This window comes from Homo sapiens, chromosome 12, assembly GCF_000001405.40.
Source record: "Homo sapiens chromosome 12, GRCh38.p14 Primary Assembly".
NCBI lineage: Eukaryota > Metazoa > Chordata > Mammalia > Primates > Hominidae > Homo > Homo sapiens.
Window position 1 is genome coordinate 26,127,357 of NC_000012.12, and position 19,132 is coordinate 26,146,488.

Genomic DNA, 19,132 nt, shown 5'->3' on the forward strand with positions numbered 1-19,132 from the left:
AATAAGCTTGCAGCACCCCATAATTTAAAGGGACAAAAAGCTGCAAATGACACATGAAGCTTTTTTCTGTTATCTCTTTGAGGCTCCTCTCTCCCCCCATCCTTTCTGCCCCAAGCTTCCCCACTTCCGTACCCTTTTCCCGTGATACCTACTCAAACTGCAAATGGGGTCTTTTCCCAATTTTTATCTCCTTTGTTGTTCTTGATCCCCTTTTCCTCTTCTTTTCTGTCTTTCCTTTACATATTCACCTTTTAACTCATGTTTCCCTTTTTCATTTCTTCTTTATCTTCCTTTCCCTTATGTTCTCTGTCTACCTTTTCCCTGTTAAATGCCAGCTTTTGCCATTTCTCTGTAGTTCTGTCAATCTCCTGTTTGCTTTTTGCCCTTTTTTTTCTTTGATCTTTCACCCTGGTGACTCTTCTTGGTTACCCACTTCCCTTAAACTTGAATCCCATTCCTGTTCTTTCTCAAACTCTTGGCTTCTGGAATATTGGGCATAGTTTGATGCCTCTGAATATCCCTTTGCGCAAGAAGGGTGTAACAATAGCTAACAACTATATAGCCTTTAAGATTAGAGTACCAGACTGCATTCAAAGAGCTTTTTATGTATTAAGTCATTAATCATTTCCACAACCCTCTAAGGTAGATACTATTATTGTTTCCATTCTACAGATGAGAAAATGCTTACAAAGTGAGATTGCAAAATATTTCCAAGGTCCCAGAGCCAGGATTTAAGCCCAGACAGTGGGTTCGAGAGTCTGGACCCTGGACGACTCTTACACCTCAATGTGAATAGTGAGTGGTAAGGTATAAGTGTTAACTAGCTGCTTCAGGGATGTTTTTCTATTTACCAGTATAAGTGTGCACATTTGTGTGTGTGTGTGAATGAAATTGTGTGGGGAGTTTTGCAAGAGAGATGGAAAAGGGAGAGGTGTTAGCATTGGAGCTGATGACAGAGATAAGAAAAGCTATGGCAAGAAGAGAGGCAGTCTTTTGCCATGTCAGTGAGTCATTCAGTTGGCATCTAGCTTCAAATTTATTGATTTAAATCCAAATATCCTAATTAACTCTTATAATTTTGTACAGATGGACAGATGGAAGTACAGTTTAGAAAAGGCTGATGGTGACCAGCTGTTCACCAGCTCTGCTGAGCAAACTGAGCCAAGCTCTAATGTGAAGACTTCAGGTTAGTAATAGGAAAAGTTCACCTGTGGTGAGGTTAGAAAGGGAAAAAAAGTACGCTAACAAAGGAACAGAAACTAGAATGCCATCTTTGGATATGTTTTAAAATAGGTTGAGTCTTATCTTTTTAGGAAAGCTTAATGCTATCCTGCTGAAAGCCAAGAAGATACAAGATGAGCTCAAAGCCCCTTTGAGCTTATAATTAAAGAATTTTGTGATGCTTTGCTTTCAATTAAAGATATCCATCTTTCTCCTTTTAATAGGCGAGGGGTAGCTGCTTCCATTGCTTTTCTTTGGTTAAGTAAGGAAATCATTACCTATAGAGACACTAATGAAAGGAAATACTTAGGCCAATTCTCCCCCCTGCCTAAATATCCTAAGTCCTGCACTCATTATATTCACCCTGTGACTTTAGAAGGCCTTATCCTGTTTGCAAAGTCTTGGATTTCCAACAGAAACAGAACTTGCCTGAAAGGATTAAAGTTTCCATGGGGAATAGAGGTTTTCTGCCTCTTTAGGGTTCTGCAAGCCCTACTGCCCTTCTGGAGAATTAACTCCAGGGTGTTTTAGGAACCCAAGTGTGATCCAAACTAACTGTACATCTCTGATGGCCCCAAAATCTGCTTAGGGGCGTAGAGTCTCCTGCCTGTGATACTGTGAAAATGGCCCATCTGAAGGGCAGAAGCCATTCTTGATCACCTCTGTTTTACAGAGCGGACAAGAATCTGCAGACGTTTTACATCAAAGTTAAGCAGAGTCCAAAACAATCTAAAAAAGTTTTGGGTTGATGCTAAAATCAAGGCCTGGAGGGGATAGCGGGGTGGGATCTGGACTTACAAAAGCTTCCCTAGGAATTTCGGCTCTTGGCATGCACACCTACTCTCAAGGGAGAAGAGTTAATGTTGTCAGGCACACCACAGAAAGAAGGGTGCCTCAGAGAAGGATTTAAGGAGGGACGGCAATTCCACTGCTACTCACCAGAAGCCAGTATGACTTTAAAATATTGATGATGTTATTTGCTGAAAGTACCGGATTTTAAATGCCAGAATAGAAGATTGGGTTTTCCAGTTGCATACTCAGCAAATGAGCAGAAACAGCACACGTGTCCCCGTTTAATTTGTAAAGGACCTTAAGTCTTTCTGAAGACTATCAATTAATGTGTCTGTAGCCATAAACATACCTATGAACCATGTTTTACATTTATGTAACACTGCTCAAGAAGTTTATGCACTTATTAGTCTTTGCATAGCTTCAAGGAGCAGATAATATTGAGTATTAGAAATAAATTTTATTTCTGCTGAAATCATTTGTATTTTCATATTTATGTGATGATCAAAACCATTCATGCAGGCTGTTCTGCATTTCACGTGTGCTCAAAATTCCTGGAGTTCTTAACATACAAAAGACAACTAGGAGAGAGCCAAGCCCAAAGACCACAATAGGAGGATTCCCTGGCCCTTCTGCCCCTACGTATCTGCCTGGTCCCTCATGGTGCCCATGTGCTTCTCATACTGATTGAGGTGGATCCATAATGAGACCGGAAAAGTAGCATGAGGAGGAGATGACAACCCCATTAAGGACTTTCACAAAGTGTTCTCTACCATTTCTCTGGAGTCTGGACTAGTTGGATGGTGGAAGTCTGCAGGAAGAGGGGCCTTTTAATGTCTGTGTTTCCTTTGTTACTGCTGATGAAAATTCTTGGAAAAATCTTCCAAGAAAAACATGTTTATGCAATGTGAAGCACATTCAAATATAAATAAGATGCACTAAATGTCCACTTCTCTCACCCACCCACTATGGGCTTCATACGGTCCTTACATCAATTGTCAGATGGTGTCCTCCTGGTGCAGAGAGTTGTCAGTAACAGATATTTCTTCTGACTTCAAAGGTACTCCTACTTTAAAAAAACAACAACAGAAAACTAGCTAAGGAGGGTTAAATCCAGACTTACAATCAAAACTATTGGTATAAAACTTTTTATTTAATAGCTAAAGCGAAAAATCATATATAACAATTACCCAACAAGTACTATGGTTCTGGTATTAACTTATAATCATCATTAGTAAGGAAACTGACTGAAATCCAGGCTGTGTATATTAGTTAAGGTCTGCATTTCAGCCAAAATAACAGCAACTGAAATTAGGAAGTTCTTTTTTGGTCACATAAAAGAAGTCTGAAGGTAAGCAGTCCAGGGGTAACGTGAAGTGGTAAAAGTGCCATCAGTGTCCCACACTTCTGCTTTTCCACTCTCCACCAGCGTCTATCTGCAAGATCACCCCATGGTCAGAAGATGGCTGCAGGAACTCCTGCAGGGAAGGATGAAAGGGTGCCTGCCAACTGAGCAAGGTCTCTTAAGGAGCTTTTTTTTTTTTGCAAGCTCCACCCATCTCATTGTCCAATCCCATTACAAGAGGTTACAAATGTAGTTTTCAAAGCTGAGGCTCCACAGCAATATAGGGGTTCTTTTAGTAAAGGGGAAGTGGAGACTAGATACTGGGTTGGCACTAGCCATCTCTGCAGTGATGTGACTAAAAGGAAATGGCTTGTCCACGTCCTCTTCTTTTTTCATCAGTGAGTCTCTTCCCCTCTATTATGCCATATGAGTTGGCAGCATCATTTTATTGTATTAGGGTATTTAATTCCAATTTCAGAAAAATGTCAATCTTCCTGTCTGCAATTGCACAAACTTAACTAACTCCTTAAGCACATGGTCCTTAACGTCTGTATTTTTAAGTTCTAATAATTGTAGAAATCTCCTTAGGGAGGAAATTTAATAGAGTTTGCTCTTCTTCCTGTAGAATGCAAATTTCAGCTGCATGTTTTCTTGGAAATGATTGTCTGTCTTTTTACGTAGCAGACCTGTCCTGTGGTTGTCCTGTCCCTGCAGCTGTGCCTTCTGCCTCTGGCAGTTGGCTTGAAGAGAGCAGCTTCCAGGAGAAAGGCATTCTCTGATAGTTCCTTGAATGCATCTAGGATTTTGCACTTCATTCACTTCTAGCCACACTTATGTAGCATACAATTGCTTTAGGGTCAGAAGATTGTGGGAGGGCTATGCTATCCAGTTGGGTTCTGGAATAAATGAGGGAGGAAAGAAGAGGTAAGTGAGTGCAGTGCAATGGGAGAAGAGGGACTAATTTCTAAGGCTGGGATTGGGAGGTGAATGCTGGAAGAGAATCTATCTTTGGAGCATTTTACTATGGACAGGTATTAAGGCAGGTGTCTTATAAACAATGTCCAGTGCTCTCAATTCTTAGAACTAGGCACCATCAACTCTACCTTACAGATGAACAAACTCAGGCTCAGAGACCTTAGGTAACTTGTCTGTTGTCATGTAGTAATGGCAAAGCCAGGCAATAGGGACCTAGGTGTGCTCCAGGGTGTCACTGGCAAGAGTCTTGAGTTTTAACAGTTAATTACCTTCTCCCCTCAGCCCCTGAGAGGATCTCCTATCCAAGCATTTCACCTTCCTTGGTGAAGCTCTGCTTCAGGTCATGGGAGCCCCTGCCAGAGGGTTGATGTTTAGAGGAGTTGTTGAGAGATGAGGAAGATGGTAGGAGGGGAAATTCTTAACCCCATTCTAGCTGACTTGGAATTTCTGATGTTTGAATGGGAATTTTGCATGTATTTCCCTACAGACAGACACAAGGGTAAGGGTGTGGTTAGCTCACTGAATAAAGCTGCCCTGTGTCTAGCATCTTGGGATCTCCTATCCAATCCTCATCCACTGAATGAATATTTACTGTGCTTATATGAACTGTGCACTGTGATGGGTTTTAGGGATTCAGTAGTGAACGTTGTCTTCAATAAGTTTACAATTTAATGGATTAAATTTCTCTTAAGAGAAAAGATCACTAAGAAAGTGGAATAATTATCCTAAAGCCATTTTATGTTCCAAAAAAGCCTGCTTTTTGGTACATTTGAGATACACTTAAACAGCTCTACTTCTCTAGTATTGCACGTTAGAAATCATTCCAGAAAATGTAGTCAGTGGCCTTGGTCTGTGGGTAAGGCTTGTCCTGTAAAGGCCACTAGCAAAGAAAATGCTTTCTCCCTTGCTTTCCTGAGCCATCTAGGCCTTCATTATATCTACCTCCCCAATTTGCCCTAGCTCCCTGATGGTGGGGATGCCTGTTCAACACCCACCCCTTCCAAGCATATACAATTTCACTGTATGGCTCCTGTTCGGCTCTCCACCCTCCCCTGGGATTCTCCCACCTCCCTTGACAAGTATGATCTTCTCATGGCTTAGTGTTTAAACTTTCTCTCTTTGGTGTTTGAAGCTAACTTTGCTCTGGATTGTAACTTGGTCTACTCCTTGGTGTTCCACATCTTCTGTAGTGTCTGTTAGGAAGCTTCTTCTCATCCCCAGCCCCTCAGCCCTCACCCTGACCCCAGTTGCTTGGTCATTGCCCTAGCAGGTTTCTTTTAGGGGGAGATTAGGACAGGGTTAGACTTAGCTAATTTCCTTTGTTCCAGAGAAGGCTGGAATGGTTTCATACAAGAATATAACTCATTACAATGACCCATAACCTCCAACACATAGATTTTCACATCCTGAAAAGGACAACTTCCTCATCATCATATACTTGACTCCCTCAGCTCTTTGACCTCAGCAGTTCAACCTGGAAAGGGACCTGACAGGGCTGGCGAATTTGGTCAGCTTAATGTCTACATCACTTTCAGGTGCAGGGACTGGATGGCAAATTTAGCAAGACAGCCTGACCTTTAAACGAAGAATGCGGTGATCATTCTCAACCCCTTCATCTCCCTCACTCCCCCATCCAATTAATAACAATATCTGAGAATTCCACCTCTTAAATATCTGTAACTCCATCCCCCTTTCATCCTAACTGCCCACACTCCAGACCAGGCCCCCATAATCTCTCACCCCAAATGTTGCAAGAGCTTCTTCCCTGCTTTTAACAGTTAGGGTCTAGTAAGGAAGATAAAAACCACCCTAGATATTTCAAGTAGGAGGAATTTGACAGAGGAGATTAAAGGCATAATCATAAACTTTGGAAAGGCTGGGATTATCAGTTTTGGGAAAAACTGTTACTGACTTCCAGAAAATCTTGACAATTGGTTCAGGGAAACCTGAATCCCATTGAGCTCAGCTGCCTGCCATGTGGAAGAGGCTGACTTGCAGGAGCTTGTCCAGAAGCTACTGTAAACCTCACATCTGCACACAGCTGCCAGGGGAGAAATATGGTGTGTCTCTGCCACTTTCCACATCTTGCACAAGGGCCTCTCAAAGGCAGAATCTAAGTTAGAAAGAGGTGGGGAGGGGATTCTGGAAAAATGTGGTTCCAAGTTTTTATTATGCAATGAGGACAGAGTGGAGAAGGCAGTGGAGCTGGTGCTGAGTTGGCATCAGGTATCTCACACTTGTATCCACTGTGTATGCCTTCTATCCCCCTCCACCACACTGAATTCAATCACTAAGTTATAGCCAGAGCAATTTTTCTGTTCGTGTCATTCTCTTGATCAAAACTCTTTAATAGCTTCCTATTTCCATTAAGTTAAAATCAAACTTGAAACTCTTCAGTGGCCTGAATATGACTTAGTTCTTGCCTACATCTCAGTCTCATCACTCATTTCTCTGCCCCCCTTTCTAGAATCCAGCATACCAGCTTTCTTTCAAAAAATATTTTTTAATGTACCCTGCTCTTGCTGTCTCAGGTCCTTCACTCACACTGTTTTGATTGATTAGAATGTTTTGTTCCCACTTCCCCAATGTCTTTCCCTTCTCTTCCTCCTACTCAACCTTCGGGTGTCATCTGAAACATCACTGTCTCCAAGAAGCCTTCTCTGAGTTCCTGGACCAGATTTGTCTCCTTCTATCAGCTCCCTTTGTGCCTGTCTTTCATAACTTCTGCTGACTGAAAGACTCATATGACTTTTCAGCATCTGTCTTCCCCACTAGTTTGTAAGCTCCATGAAGACAGACACCTGAATTGTTTACTGCTGTATCCCCAGTGTCTAGGACAGTGTTGAGCACAGAACAGACACACAACTCTTCTGAATGATTCCTAAATGTGCTCCACCAAATCATCTATACACTGAAGTTGGCTTTGTTCCAGGAAAACACTTGAATGACAAGTCATAACCAAGCCACATAACATTTGAAGTGTCCTTGTACCTGTTGAGGGTGGGGAATATAATGTTGGTTCCCACCCTCCCATCCCCCACTAGGACTTTCCTATATTGGTGTGGCTTTTATGGGCAGGGACACCCTCACTATACTTAGAGTACTGCATATTTACTTCTTGGCTTTACCAGGCACATGGAGATTAGAAAGTAGGTACCATGAAGGATCATAAAATGCTCCTGATATTGCAGGAAACTCAGTAGTCTGGCAGGGTCTTTAGTGAAGTAGTGGGAAGTTCTGTCAGGGGGTAGGGCCTGTGGCTGTGGAATTGCTGTTTGTCATTGTACCAGGATTGATGTGCTCGGTGCCCAGAAGGCAGTAAGCTCTGCTCCCTAGCAGCCTTGGTAAGTTGAGTTTCTCACTTGCAGAACTTTTACTTCCTTTCGCAGTGTGCATTAGCAAATCAGAGAGACTGTAAAAGCTGGAGCCAGTCCAGTCGAATTCCACAGGTGCTCCAGAGACCGTGGGTTGGTGAGGTAACATCCAGGGCATGGCTCTCAGAGGCCAGAAGTAGGGAGGGGCGCAGAGTTTGGCCTGGCAAGCTGTGTTTACAGGTTTGCTGGGCTGAGTGGATCACAGGAGGGGGTCCTGGGGCAGAGCCAAAGAGCTTGGTTACCAAGAGTGCAGAAAGAAACAAGCACTGTGCCAGGATGTAGGAGTCAAGCCTCAGACTCCGGAACAAAGTGGGAGGATTGAGAGCCAGTGAAGCCAGTCCATCAGAATGCCAAGCTGGTAGGCACAGAGGAGGCAAGGAGCAAAGGGTCAGTACAGACAAAAGAGAGCTGGGGCAAGATGCAGGAGGCAGGAACCAGGTCTGGAGGATGCGCTACGAATGTGGAGGAATTCTCCTGGAGGTGGTCAGTCAGTCGTGCCCTTGATAGGCTGGAAATAGGGTCAGAAACACATCAACCCTCACCCTCAAGCCAACTTTGCATTTCCTCCTGGCACTCGTACTTGCAAAAACACATAGCTCTCATTTCTCTAATTATGTATTCAAAAAGAAAGTTTTGATTTTTCTGGTCAAGGGCTTCTTGCAAAATCAAACTACGTTTGCCAAATATAGCCCCGGTGACCACAAGCCATCAGCAGGCCTGGGTCTGAGTTCACACCTGCTCAACATTCCTGCATTGCCAGTGGTGATCCAGCTGAGATACAATTCTGAGTCAATTTTGTCATTGGATAATGGCACTACTGATTTTTCCTAGGCTTTTTATTCTGTTTTAGAAATTCTGCTTCAGACATACCAAAGGTAATGAAATAGACATATCTCATATTTCTGTCCTTGTTTCATATTACAGTCCACCCTCCATATCTGTGGGCTCCCATCCATGGATTCAACCAACCTTAGGATATAAATATTTGAAAATAAATTGTGTCTGTACTGAACATGTACAGACATTTTCCCCTTGTCATTATTCTCTAAACAATACAGTTTATTTATATAGCACTTACATTGTATTAGGTGTCATAAGTAATCTAGAGATGTTTTAAAGTGTATGGGATGACGTGTGTAGGCTATGTGTAAAAGACTATGCCATTTTATATCAGGGGACTTGAGCACCCAAGGATTTTGGTATCCACCGGAGGTCCTGGTACCAATACCCTGCAGATACCAAGGGATAAGTGTGTTTCATGTTGCTGTGTATGGTGGCAGAGTTGGTATGGACTTAGGCTTTAAGATCAAGAGGACCTGAGTTTAAATGCTGTTTTCCCCTGAGTAGCTGTGTGACCTTGGACAAATTATGAATGAGTCGGTTATCTCAAATGTAACTACAGAGAAATAGCAGTACCTCCCTCTGTTTATTGCGTGTCCATGACAATGCGCAGAGAACACCCCCATCCTAGTAGGTGAGCAATAAATGATAGCTATTATTTTTCCCATTTGAGCTGCTTGGTTAAAATTATGAGTGTCATAGAAAATATGGGTGTATGAAAATAATTGATGAATTGAGTAACATTTTAAGTTCAAGAGGTAAACCTATTGCTTTCCATTACTCTTTCCTCTAGTAATGGGTGAATAACAATAAAACAGAAGGCCAGACCTGTCAACGTGATTTTCCATTAATGAGATATAGTTAAGAGTCCATGGTACTTCGTGTGCTACTTGGAAATAGGCAGTACTGGTCACAACCTTATCCTTTTAAATCATGCTATTTAGACAGCTCCTCTGAGAGCTGTCACATAGTTCCACATTTATGTGCAAATTGGGGGAAATCCTGTTAGTCCATGCTTTGTCGTAAGTTAAAGCCTTGGTCAGGTCTTAAATGAATGACATGGGTGAATTAAGTTTCAAACTTTGTTAGCTGGCCATGGGAGGCATCTTGACTTATTTCTTCTTTATTTCAGCCATTCTACTAATAAAAGCAAGACTTTTATGGCAGTTACTCTGTGCCATGCTCTCTTTTACTGTTTTGCAAGTCTTAACTCATTTAATTGCTCAACAACCCTTTGATATAGATAGTGTGATAATGCCATTCTGAAAAGGAAAAAACTGCGGCACAGGTTAAGTAATTTGTCCATGTCACACAAATAGTAAATGGCAGAGCCAGGATTTGAAGAAAACACTGCGGCTGCAGAGTCATTGCCCATAATCTTGACTGCCTGTGTGCACAATGGCCTCCCAAAAACCCAGACAAAAATTCAGCATTTCTATTTACCTCCATGATTTTTGTTTAGAGAAGCGAGGCTTCATTATGCCAGAAAGAGCATGGCTTTGGGGTCTGAAACTGTGAGCATAAGGTTAAGCTTTACGAATACCTGTTTGCCTAGTTGGGAGAGGCAAAGTTTGGAACTTCCCTAAACCTCAGTGTCCGCACTTATAGAATGAGGATCTTATATGCCTGTTGTGAGGTGACTAGTATTTCTGACACATAGAAGATGTCCAATAAATATGTCACTACCTTGAATATATATATACACATATACATATATATGTGTGTGTGTGTGTATGTATATATATATATATATATATTTTTTTTTTTTTTTTTTTTTTTTTTGAGATGGAGTCTTGCTCTGTTGCCTAGGCTGGAGTACAGTGGTGCAATCTTGGCTCATTGCAACTGCCACCTCCTCTTTTCAAGCGATTCTCCTACCTCAGCCTCCCGAGTAGCTGGGATTACAGGGGCCCCACCACCACGCCCGGCTAATTTTTTTGTATTTTAGTAGAGACGGGTTTCACCCTGTTGGCCAGGCTGGTCTCGAACTCCTGTCCTCAAGTGACCTACCCACCTCAGCCTCCCAAAGTGCTGGGATTATAGGCATGAGTCACCGCGTCTGGCCTACTATGTTGAATATTAACAGTTGTCCCTCAGTATCCACAGGGGACTGGTTCCAGGACCTCCCCCGACCCCATGATACTAAAATCTGTGGATGTTCAAGTCCCATGTAAATAAAGCATAGCATTTGCTTATAACCTATGCACATCCTCCCGTATATTTGAAATCATCTCTAGATTACTTATAATACCTAATATGACATAAACACTATATAAACACTGAATTTTTAAATTTGTATTGTTATTTATTTATTTCGTTTCACATATTTTTGATCCACGATTGGTTGAATCTGTGGATGTAGAACCTGTGGATACAGAGGGCCAACTGTATTTAAAGATATCCAAATATGCAATCATTTTGGTGGTTTATTTTCTCCTGAAAAACAAATTTTTGATTTTGTTAAACTTTTCACCTTTCCAAAATAGGGTAAAATTTGATCACTGAGTTAACAATAATAGAGTATCTTCTATGTGCAAGGCATTTTCTAGATAGGGGCTATCCAACAGAACTTTTTGCAGTGAAAGAAATATTCTATAATCTGGCCTGTCCAATGTGGTAGTGCTAGCCGCATGTGGTTATTGAGCAGTTAAAATTGCTTAGTTTAACTAAGGTACTGAATTTTAAATTTTATTTAATTTTAGTTAATTTACATTTAATTTTAAATAGCCACATGTTAGTGACTATCACATTGCACAAGGAAAGTCTAGATGCTTTTATTAGGCCCACATACTGATCAATCCATAAATAATTATTTTTAAAAAGCCAAGACATTTTTTTAACCTGTTCTTTTTTTAAGGTGCTTATGGTGCTCAGAATCCGTGTGGGAAGAAAAAAAAATCAATGATCGAGCATAAATTCAGGCCAATAAAGATAAACTATAGTCCATTTTAATTTTACTGGAACTCAAATGACATAACTTATCAATATTTTTAAACAGTGATCATGAATTTGCTATGAATATTTTAGTTACTTCCCATAAATAAATAGTAATATAATAATTTCAATTCTGCATATCATACCATATAGGGATTAGTTAGGTTTAGATGTAAGCAGTAGTGTGCTGGTAAATGTTTAACTGGTTCTTTATGAAAAATGTAGGTGTGTGCCTGTGTGCATGTGTGTGTATGGTTTATTATATACTATGTTATAAATGATGTGTAGCAAAAACACACACTTACACATAAGAATAAAATATATATTACTCCTGTGAATCCCATATAGCCAACTGATTTTCACTGAGTGCTTTTATTGATTTTTGCTAAATTCTTTTATCTCTTGCCAACCTATGAGTGCAATTAATTCCCAAGTGTAATTCTGACATTAATGTTGATTGAAATTTTCCTTTATGTTAATGATTAAGGTGAAAGTCATACAGTGAAGACATTTGTTAGAACCTCATTTATTCATCATTGATATGAGCAATGTTTTCACTAAATCAGGTAATAATTTTCACATACTGGAAAAATATTTCCCTATTTTTGTGTGCTATTCACAATGTGATAACTATAAATGTGACACTTTTAAATGGAATCTGCCTGATTAACATTTTCTCTATCTCTTTTTTGAGTCCAACAATTGGCAAAATAATAAATTTGTAGCACTTGCCAATTTCCATGGTGTAAATACTCCCACCACTACTAATGTGGCATCACTGACAGTGGAGTTAGGAAAGTATAATAGATGTAATAACTAATCTGAAAAGCAAATAGTAAAATGTGGTAAATAGTAAGATAATAGTAAAATGTGGTAAACAGTAAAATAATAGTAAAATGTTGTAAAATATCTAGGAACTGATGGGCTTTGATTATTTATTACCTTTGTTTTTACTATAATTTACTTAGTGGTAAATTTTTATAACTTAATTCGTCATAGTGTGGAGTCCCAGAATGTTGGTCCTGTGTTTATCAGCAATTTCTGAAGCGGACACTCTTTGCCAGCACTAGGTGCTAGGGCTATAAAAATGAATAAGGCCTGTCAAGATTTGAGTTTTCCTGGATATGCTCTTGCCCTCCTCTCTTGTCTCCTTTTCCTCACTGAATGATCTCATCCAGGCTCATGGCTTCAATATCATCTTTATGCTGATAATCCCAAATTTATGTTTCCATCTCTGCTTTTCTACTGCAAGCTCCAGTCTCATAAATTCAACTTCCTACCTGATAACTCCTTTTGGATTTCATGTAGTTATTTCATGAAATATAGTTGTTTTTATGAAATAACTGTATGAAATCATGACCATTCCAGCCTGGTACGTCGTAATGTCCATGTTTTGCTCCAAACCCATGTAGTCTTCCTCCAGTCTTCATCATTCTCAGTCAATGACACTACCATGTACCAGTTAATTGAGCTCTGATTTTAAGGATCATCCTTTGTCCTCTTCTTTTATTAATTTTCTACATTGAACCTATCAGCAAGTTCTGTTTCTTCTATTCCAAAATACTTCTCAAATCTGGACAGTCCTCACCATCTTCAGTGCTGTCACCCTAGTCAAAGCCACTATCTCTCATTGGGACTATTGAGAGAGTGGACCTGGTTTGGATTTGTGTCCCCGCCCAAATCTCATGTTGAATTGTAATCCCCAGTATTGGAAAAGGGGCCGCGGGGGAAGTGACTGGATCACGAGGGTGGATTTTCCCCTCGCTGTTTTCATGATATTGGGTGAGTTGTCATGAGATCTGGCTGTTTAAAATTGTGTAGCACCTTCCCCTTCACTCTCTTCCTCCTGCTACGGCCATGTAGGACGTGACTTCTTCCTCTTCACCTTCCGTCATGATTGTAAATTTCCTGAGGCCTCCCCAGCCATGCTGCTTGTACTGCCTGCAGAACAGTGAACCAATTAAACCCCTTTTCTTTATAAATTACCCAGTCTCAGGTAGTTCTTTATAGCAATGTGAGTACGAATGAATACATTCATATTTGGTCTTCCTGCCTTTCCTTTTTCATCACACAGATCTTTCACACAGGAACTCTTAAAATATAAAGCAGCTCCTGCCACTTTTTTGCTTAAAATCTCTCCACTAGTTAACGTATTTCAGTTAGATCAAAGTCCAATCTATAGTAGGCAGAATAATGGGCCTCCATAAATGTCCATGTCCTAATCCCTGGAACCTGTGAATATATTACCTTACATAGCACAAGAAACTTTGTAAATGTGACTATATTAAGGATCTTGGAAAGGAGAGATTATCCAGGATTATCCAGGTGGGAACAATGTAGTCAAAAGGATGTTTATAAGTGGAAGCAGGAGGCAGAAGAGAATTAGAGGGAGAGGTAACAATGGAACAGCCAGGTAGATGCAGCACTACTGTGTTTGGGGATGGAGGAAGGGAGGTAAAATCCAAGGACTGTGGGTGCCTCCAGAGACGGGAAAACGTAAGGAAATGGATTCTTCCCCAAAGCCTCCAAAAAGGAGTGCTCCCTTGCAAACATCTTGAGTTTAGCCCAATGAGAACCATGAAAGACTTCTATCTCAAAGAACTCTCAGATAATAAATTTGTGTTGTTTAAGCTGGTAAATTTATTGTAATTTGTTAGCATGGCCACAGAAAACTAATACAGTAGCCTGCAAGACCCTACAACTTTCTCCTCTAGATCCTCACAAAGCTGGTTATTCATCATTTGGATTACCAGAATCTCCTCAAAAAGGCACCACCACCACCTGGTCACTTTTTACTCTGTGCTTTATTTTCTGAATAGCTTCTGTGAGAATATGAAATTGTCTTACTAATTTGTTTTTGTCTTTATACCTTCTTACCAGACACATATCATTAACATATGAACTTCAGGAAGTCAGGTACCTAGTATATCATTTTCATTCAGTAAACGCTCAGTGAATGTATGTTTTTTAAAAAATGCATGAAAACAGGATGTCTTGCTCAGGATATGCACAGTCTATGGGAGAGAAGATGAGTAAAGCAATGATTACAGAACAGTATAATGAAGGCTATAAAAGGGACTCATATGGGGAGTCACAGGCACCCATAGGAAAAGCACCTTGGCAGGCTCTCCAGAGGAATTACTATTGGGCACAACCTTGAAGAGAAAGTAGGAAAGCAAAAGCCTGGTAAAAAGGAGCAGGTGGATTTTCAGGCAGAGGTTGTTGGAGGTTGTGAAAGAGAATACACAGGTATTAAATCAACTGCAGGTGATTTGGTTATGCTGGGCCTAAAATGAAAGTTAGGAAGGTGTCTTATCACTGGGACTTTGTATGACTTACCAAGAAATGTTTGATTTGTCTAGGTGGCATGAAAGGGTTTTAAGCAGTGCCAGTTTTGCATCGTAGAAAATGTATTCTGATGACACTGTTGATAGTATATTGAAGGGGAGGTAATGCTGGAGATGGGAAACCAGTTGGGACGATATGGCCATTTTCAAGATGAAAGGTTGTAGGACAGTAACAGTGAAAATGGAGAATGATAGGGAGATCTGGGAAAGTATTTTAGAGGTGCGTTCCATGGGATTGGTGACCAATTTATTGCGTGAGTGAGAGAGAAACAGTATTAGGAGTTGACACTCAGGGTTTGGTTTGGGTGACTGGACAGAGAGTAGTACCTTCAATAAGAATAAGGAATATGGGAGGAGGATATGAGACAGATTTCACTGTGACAAGTTTGTGACGTACCATGGGTGGAAGAGGCATCTCAGAGGAAGCTGGATTTAAGTCTGAATCTTGGGAAAGATCAGGGCTAGAGATTTATATCTGGAATGAATGGAATATGTGATATGAGTGGTTGAGCTATTTCAGGACATGGAGATTAGAAGAGAAGTGGGTTGAGGATGGAATCCTGGGGAATACTGACTTTTACACATTGGATGAAAGATGTGTGTCTAAGAGTGAGACCAAGAAGGAATAGTCAGAGAAGAAGGAAAGAATAAAGAATGTGCTGTCATCTACAGAAATGCCTGGCTCCTTCATCTGTACATGCAATTTAGTGAGATTTCCAATGTCACCTCTTCCAGGTCCTCTCAAATGGATTCAGTTGCTTTTCACTTTACTGTACCTGTATTATGATGATTGTCACATTGTATATACCTATTTTTTACACTGGTCTAATTATTCTACTCCTAGATAGTAAACTTCTTGAAAGCAAGGACTATGACTCACTTATAATTCTTTGTAGTTCTCAGTAGGATATCATACACATATTACATTTATGACAAATTAATATGGCCACTGAATATAGCAGATATTTTGGAAAGTAGCCTTTATTCATATTTTAAAGAAACAGTAGTCATTTGATTAAGTATAAAGTGGTACCAAACAGCTAAGCAAAATATTTCTTTAAGATGATGGTAGTGTATCATCTTAATATACTTGATCATCATAAGCTCCTGTGTAATCATAATAGAGAAATATTAATAGCGTGCTTATTATGTTCCAGGTGTTCTGTTGAATGCTTTATACACATGATTTCATTTAATATTCACAGTAACCTATGGCTGGGCATCATTATTCTTATTTCACAGATGGAAGATAGGAATCTCAGAGAGGCTAAGTAACTTGCGCAAGATTACACAGTCAGTAAAGAGCTAAGATTTAAACCCAGACAGCCTGCCTGCAGAGCTGGTGTTTTAAGTGCCTCTCTAGGGCCTCTTAGGTGACATTAGGGAAATCCTGAGCTGAGGCAGGTAGGATGCAGAATGGGTACTTCAGGGGCCTGTAAAATGACTTTGCTAATTTAATTGCCAGTAATCAGGTAGGCATTTTGAACAGTTAGAAAGAAATACTTGACATATTGGCATGTGAAACAAATAGTTACATTTTTGTGATGTACCTTAAAACAGGGGTCCCTAACCCCCACAGCAGGAGGTGGGCGGTGGACATGCAAGTAAAGCTTCATCTGTATTTACAGCTGCTCCCCTTTGCTTGCATTGCCGCCTGAGCTCCATCTCCTGTCAGATTCTCAGGGGAGTGCAAAACCCTATTGTGAACTGCGCATGTGAGGGATCTAGGTTGTGTGCTTTTTATGAGAATCTAATGCCTGATGATCCATCACTGTCTCCCATCACCCCCACATGGGACCATCCAGTTGCAGGAAAACAAGCTCAGGTCTCCCACTGATTCTATATTATGGTGAGTTGTATAATTATTTCATTCTATATTACAATGTAATAATAATAGAAATAAAGTACACAATAAATGTAATGCACTTGAATCATCCTGAAACCATCGCCACCACCCCAGTCTATGGAAAAATTGTCTTCCATGAAACTGGTCTCTGGTGCCAAAAAGGTTGGGGACTGCCGCCTTAAAACAAAGACTTGCTGATTTAAACAAATACTAGGGTAAGATCAATTCTTTCTGCAAGTGATTTAGAATGCAGAACTTTGCCATGGTTTACCATAGCATAAAAATCAAATGCTGGCCACCAGGCTGTAAGGCAGGAACAAGTGAATCGAATGGAGTAAAAGACCCAGAGGAGAGTTTGGTGCCTAAACTAGGAGAGTTTTAAGATGTCTTATGTTACTGTAGCCCTAGTAATATCCATCCCTCCTATTCTTTCCTGCTTATCAACAAGGTAAGGCGTGGTTTTCATTCCCCCTGGCATGGTAACATTGTAGCATGTAACATATACATTCTGCGTCTCTCTTGGACTGTGAGCCTCTCAAGAACAGAGCTCAGTTTTTCCATTTTTCTGTATCAAACACAGAACAAGAGCAGGCAATGAATAGGATACAACTTATGGCAATTATTGCAATATAAGGCAGATGTGAGCTCCAAGATAGTAGGAACTTTGCCATTTTTGTTTACCTCTGATTCTTCAAGACAGATACTGAGCTCGGTAAATATTTGTTGAAAGAATAGATGGTTTTGTAGCATGATTTTATATTATCCGACAAGTAGAATGGATTATCTACTAAATCTTTCTGTTTCTAGGGTCTCTGATTATATTATTCGTAGTCTAAATTCATATTAAAAGTTATGAGTTGGTCACTTTCCTCCGCCAATGCAGTATGAACTCTGTTTATTTTTAAGTCAAACTCTTATCACATCTACCTTTGTGTAACTGAAATAACTCAGACTTCACTGGCCAGATAGCATTGTTATATTACGACTTCACCCCACAACAAGTGGCAAAAACCAAATTCACATTAGCTGAAGCAGTGAGAGATTTTTGGTCTATGTAACCAGCTGAGGGAGGCAAGGTGACTGGACCTGCAGATGTGAACATCATTAGCTGTCTTTCTTTCCAGCTCTCAAGTCAGGTTCCCTCTGCAAACGAGCTTTATTTTCTCAAGCCAGTTCCTTCCTCAAGACTTAACTGAAGTCAGGGATGGGGGCCTGCAGCTTTAAGGCCCATCTTCACCACTTTGTAACCAGAGAGAAGGGTTGATCCTTCCACCTTCGGTTCAAGAAAGGCTGGGAAACGACTCTGCGCAGCTCCTCTTGGGGCACTTGGTCAATCACTGTGTCCTGGGAGGGCTGGTGAGGGGCTCTGATTCATCCAGTGTCAGGAATGGGCCCACCCTTATGGTTGGGGGTGAAGTGAAATGTGTGTCAATGGAATTGGGGAAAAGTACAGGGCAGACAACACAGTGGTGTCCGCTATGCCTGGGACATTAGCATTGGTACCCTGTTAGGAGATGGCAGGACGTTCTGTCTCATACAGAGCCTCTGCCACTAATACTTCTGGACATCCTCAAGGTGCCTCCAAGGATCCAAGGCTCAGTCTTGGTTTTCACTCTCGACTGTGAGTCCTGCAGTCTTGGACATGGGCATGCAGTTCCGCTTATGAGGCAAGAATGGCGCCACCACCATGGCCTCAGATTGGGTACTGGTGGAGATGAGTACAATTCCATGTAGACAGAACTGGTATTCCGCCCTCGTGCCCCTCTGAGTAATGCTTCTCTTAGGAGCTAGGATGGAGAAGGCATAACAAGACTCCTCATGCCCCGTAAACTCATGGTGCAGTTCACTGCTTTGGTGCTACAGCTGGCTGGGTCAGGACTTTGTGGACCCATGTACACATGTTCACCCATTGGCCACTTGGAGGCTGAAACCCTGTTCCTGTTCCTATGTCGACCATTGCCCTCTCACATTAGCTGACATTGACCTTTTGCTGTCCATGGAGCTGGAAGTTAGCCTTTCCTGATGTTGGCTAAATGACAACAGTGGTGCTGTACCGTAAATCCAGAGAAGCAATTGCCACCCTCAAGAGACAAGTGAAGAGAAGGGTGGTGCCTTTCACCCTGCATAGCAAAGTGGGGCAGGTGGTGGTGGTTCACCTTCTCCAAGTCAGACCTATCAAGTCTCCTCCAGAGTGTGCAACCTGCCGAGGCAGATGGCCTGAGATGGGATGGATTCATCATCACTTTCCAAGTTATGTGCAGATGGATGGTTACACTAGATACCCATGTTCTTAAGCTGATTTCTTGGAGCACCCTCAGTCTCACCCTCGTTCTGACTCCTGTTGTGCCCATTTCCATGTAAGAGCGGTAAGGGACATTTATGCTGTTAAATAGTACCACCTAGAAGTGATTCTTTCCTATCAGTTGATTTAGTCATCTAATTCCTCAAAATACAGATTCAC

At 41.0% G+C, this 19,132-nt stretch overlaps 1 protein-coding gene across 2 annotated transcripts in view; it reads left to right on the forward strand.

The window, feature by feature from the left end:
* The window catches only part of SSPN (sarcospan), a 112,787-nt gene that overhangs the window by 5,366 nt on the left and 88,289 nt on the right, over positions 1-19,132 (forward strand). Inside the window, exon 1 of one of the 2 annotated variants that reach the window (XM_011520855.2) lies at positions 7,630-7,674. The exons of the other annotated variant lie outside the window; for it this stretch is intronic. The gene's annotated coding sequence lies outside the window, so the exon portion shown is untranslated. Of the gene's footprint in view, positions 1-7,629; positions 7,675-19,132 lie in introns of those variants that run through there. 2 annotated transcript variants of the gene reach the window in all.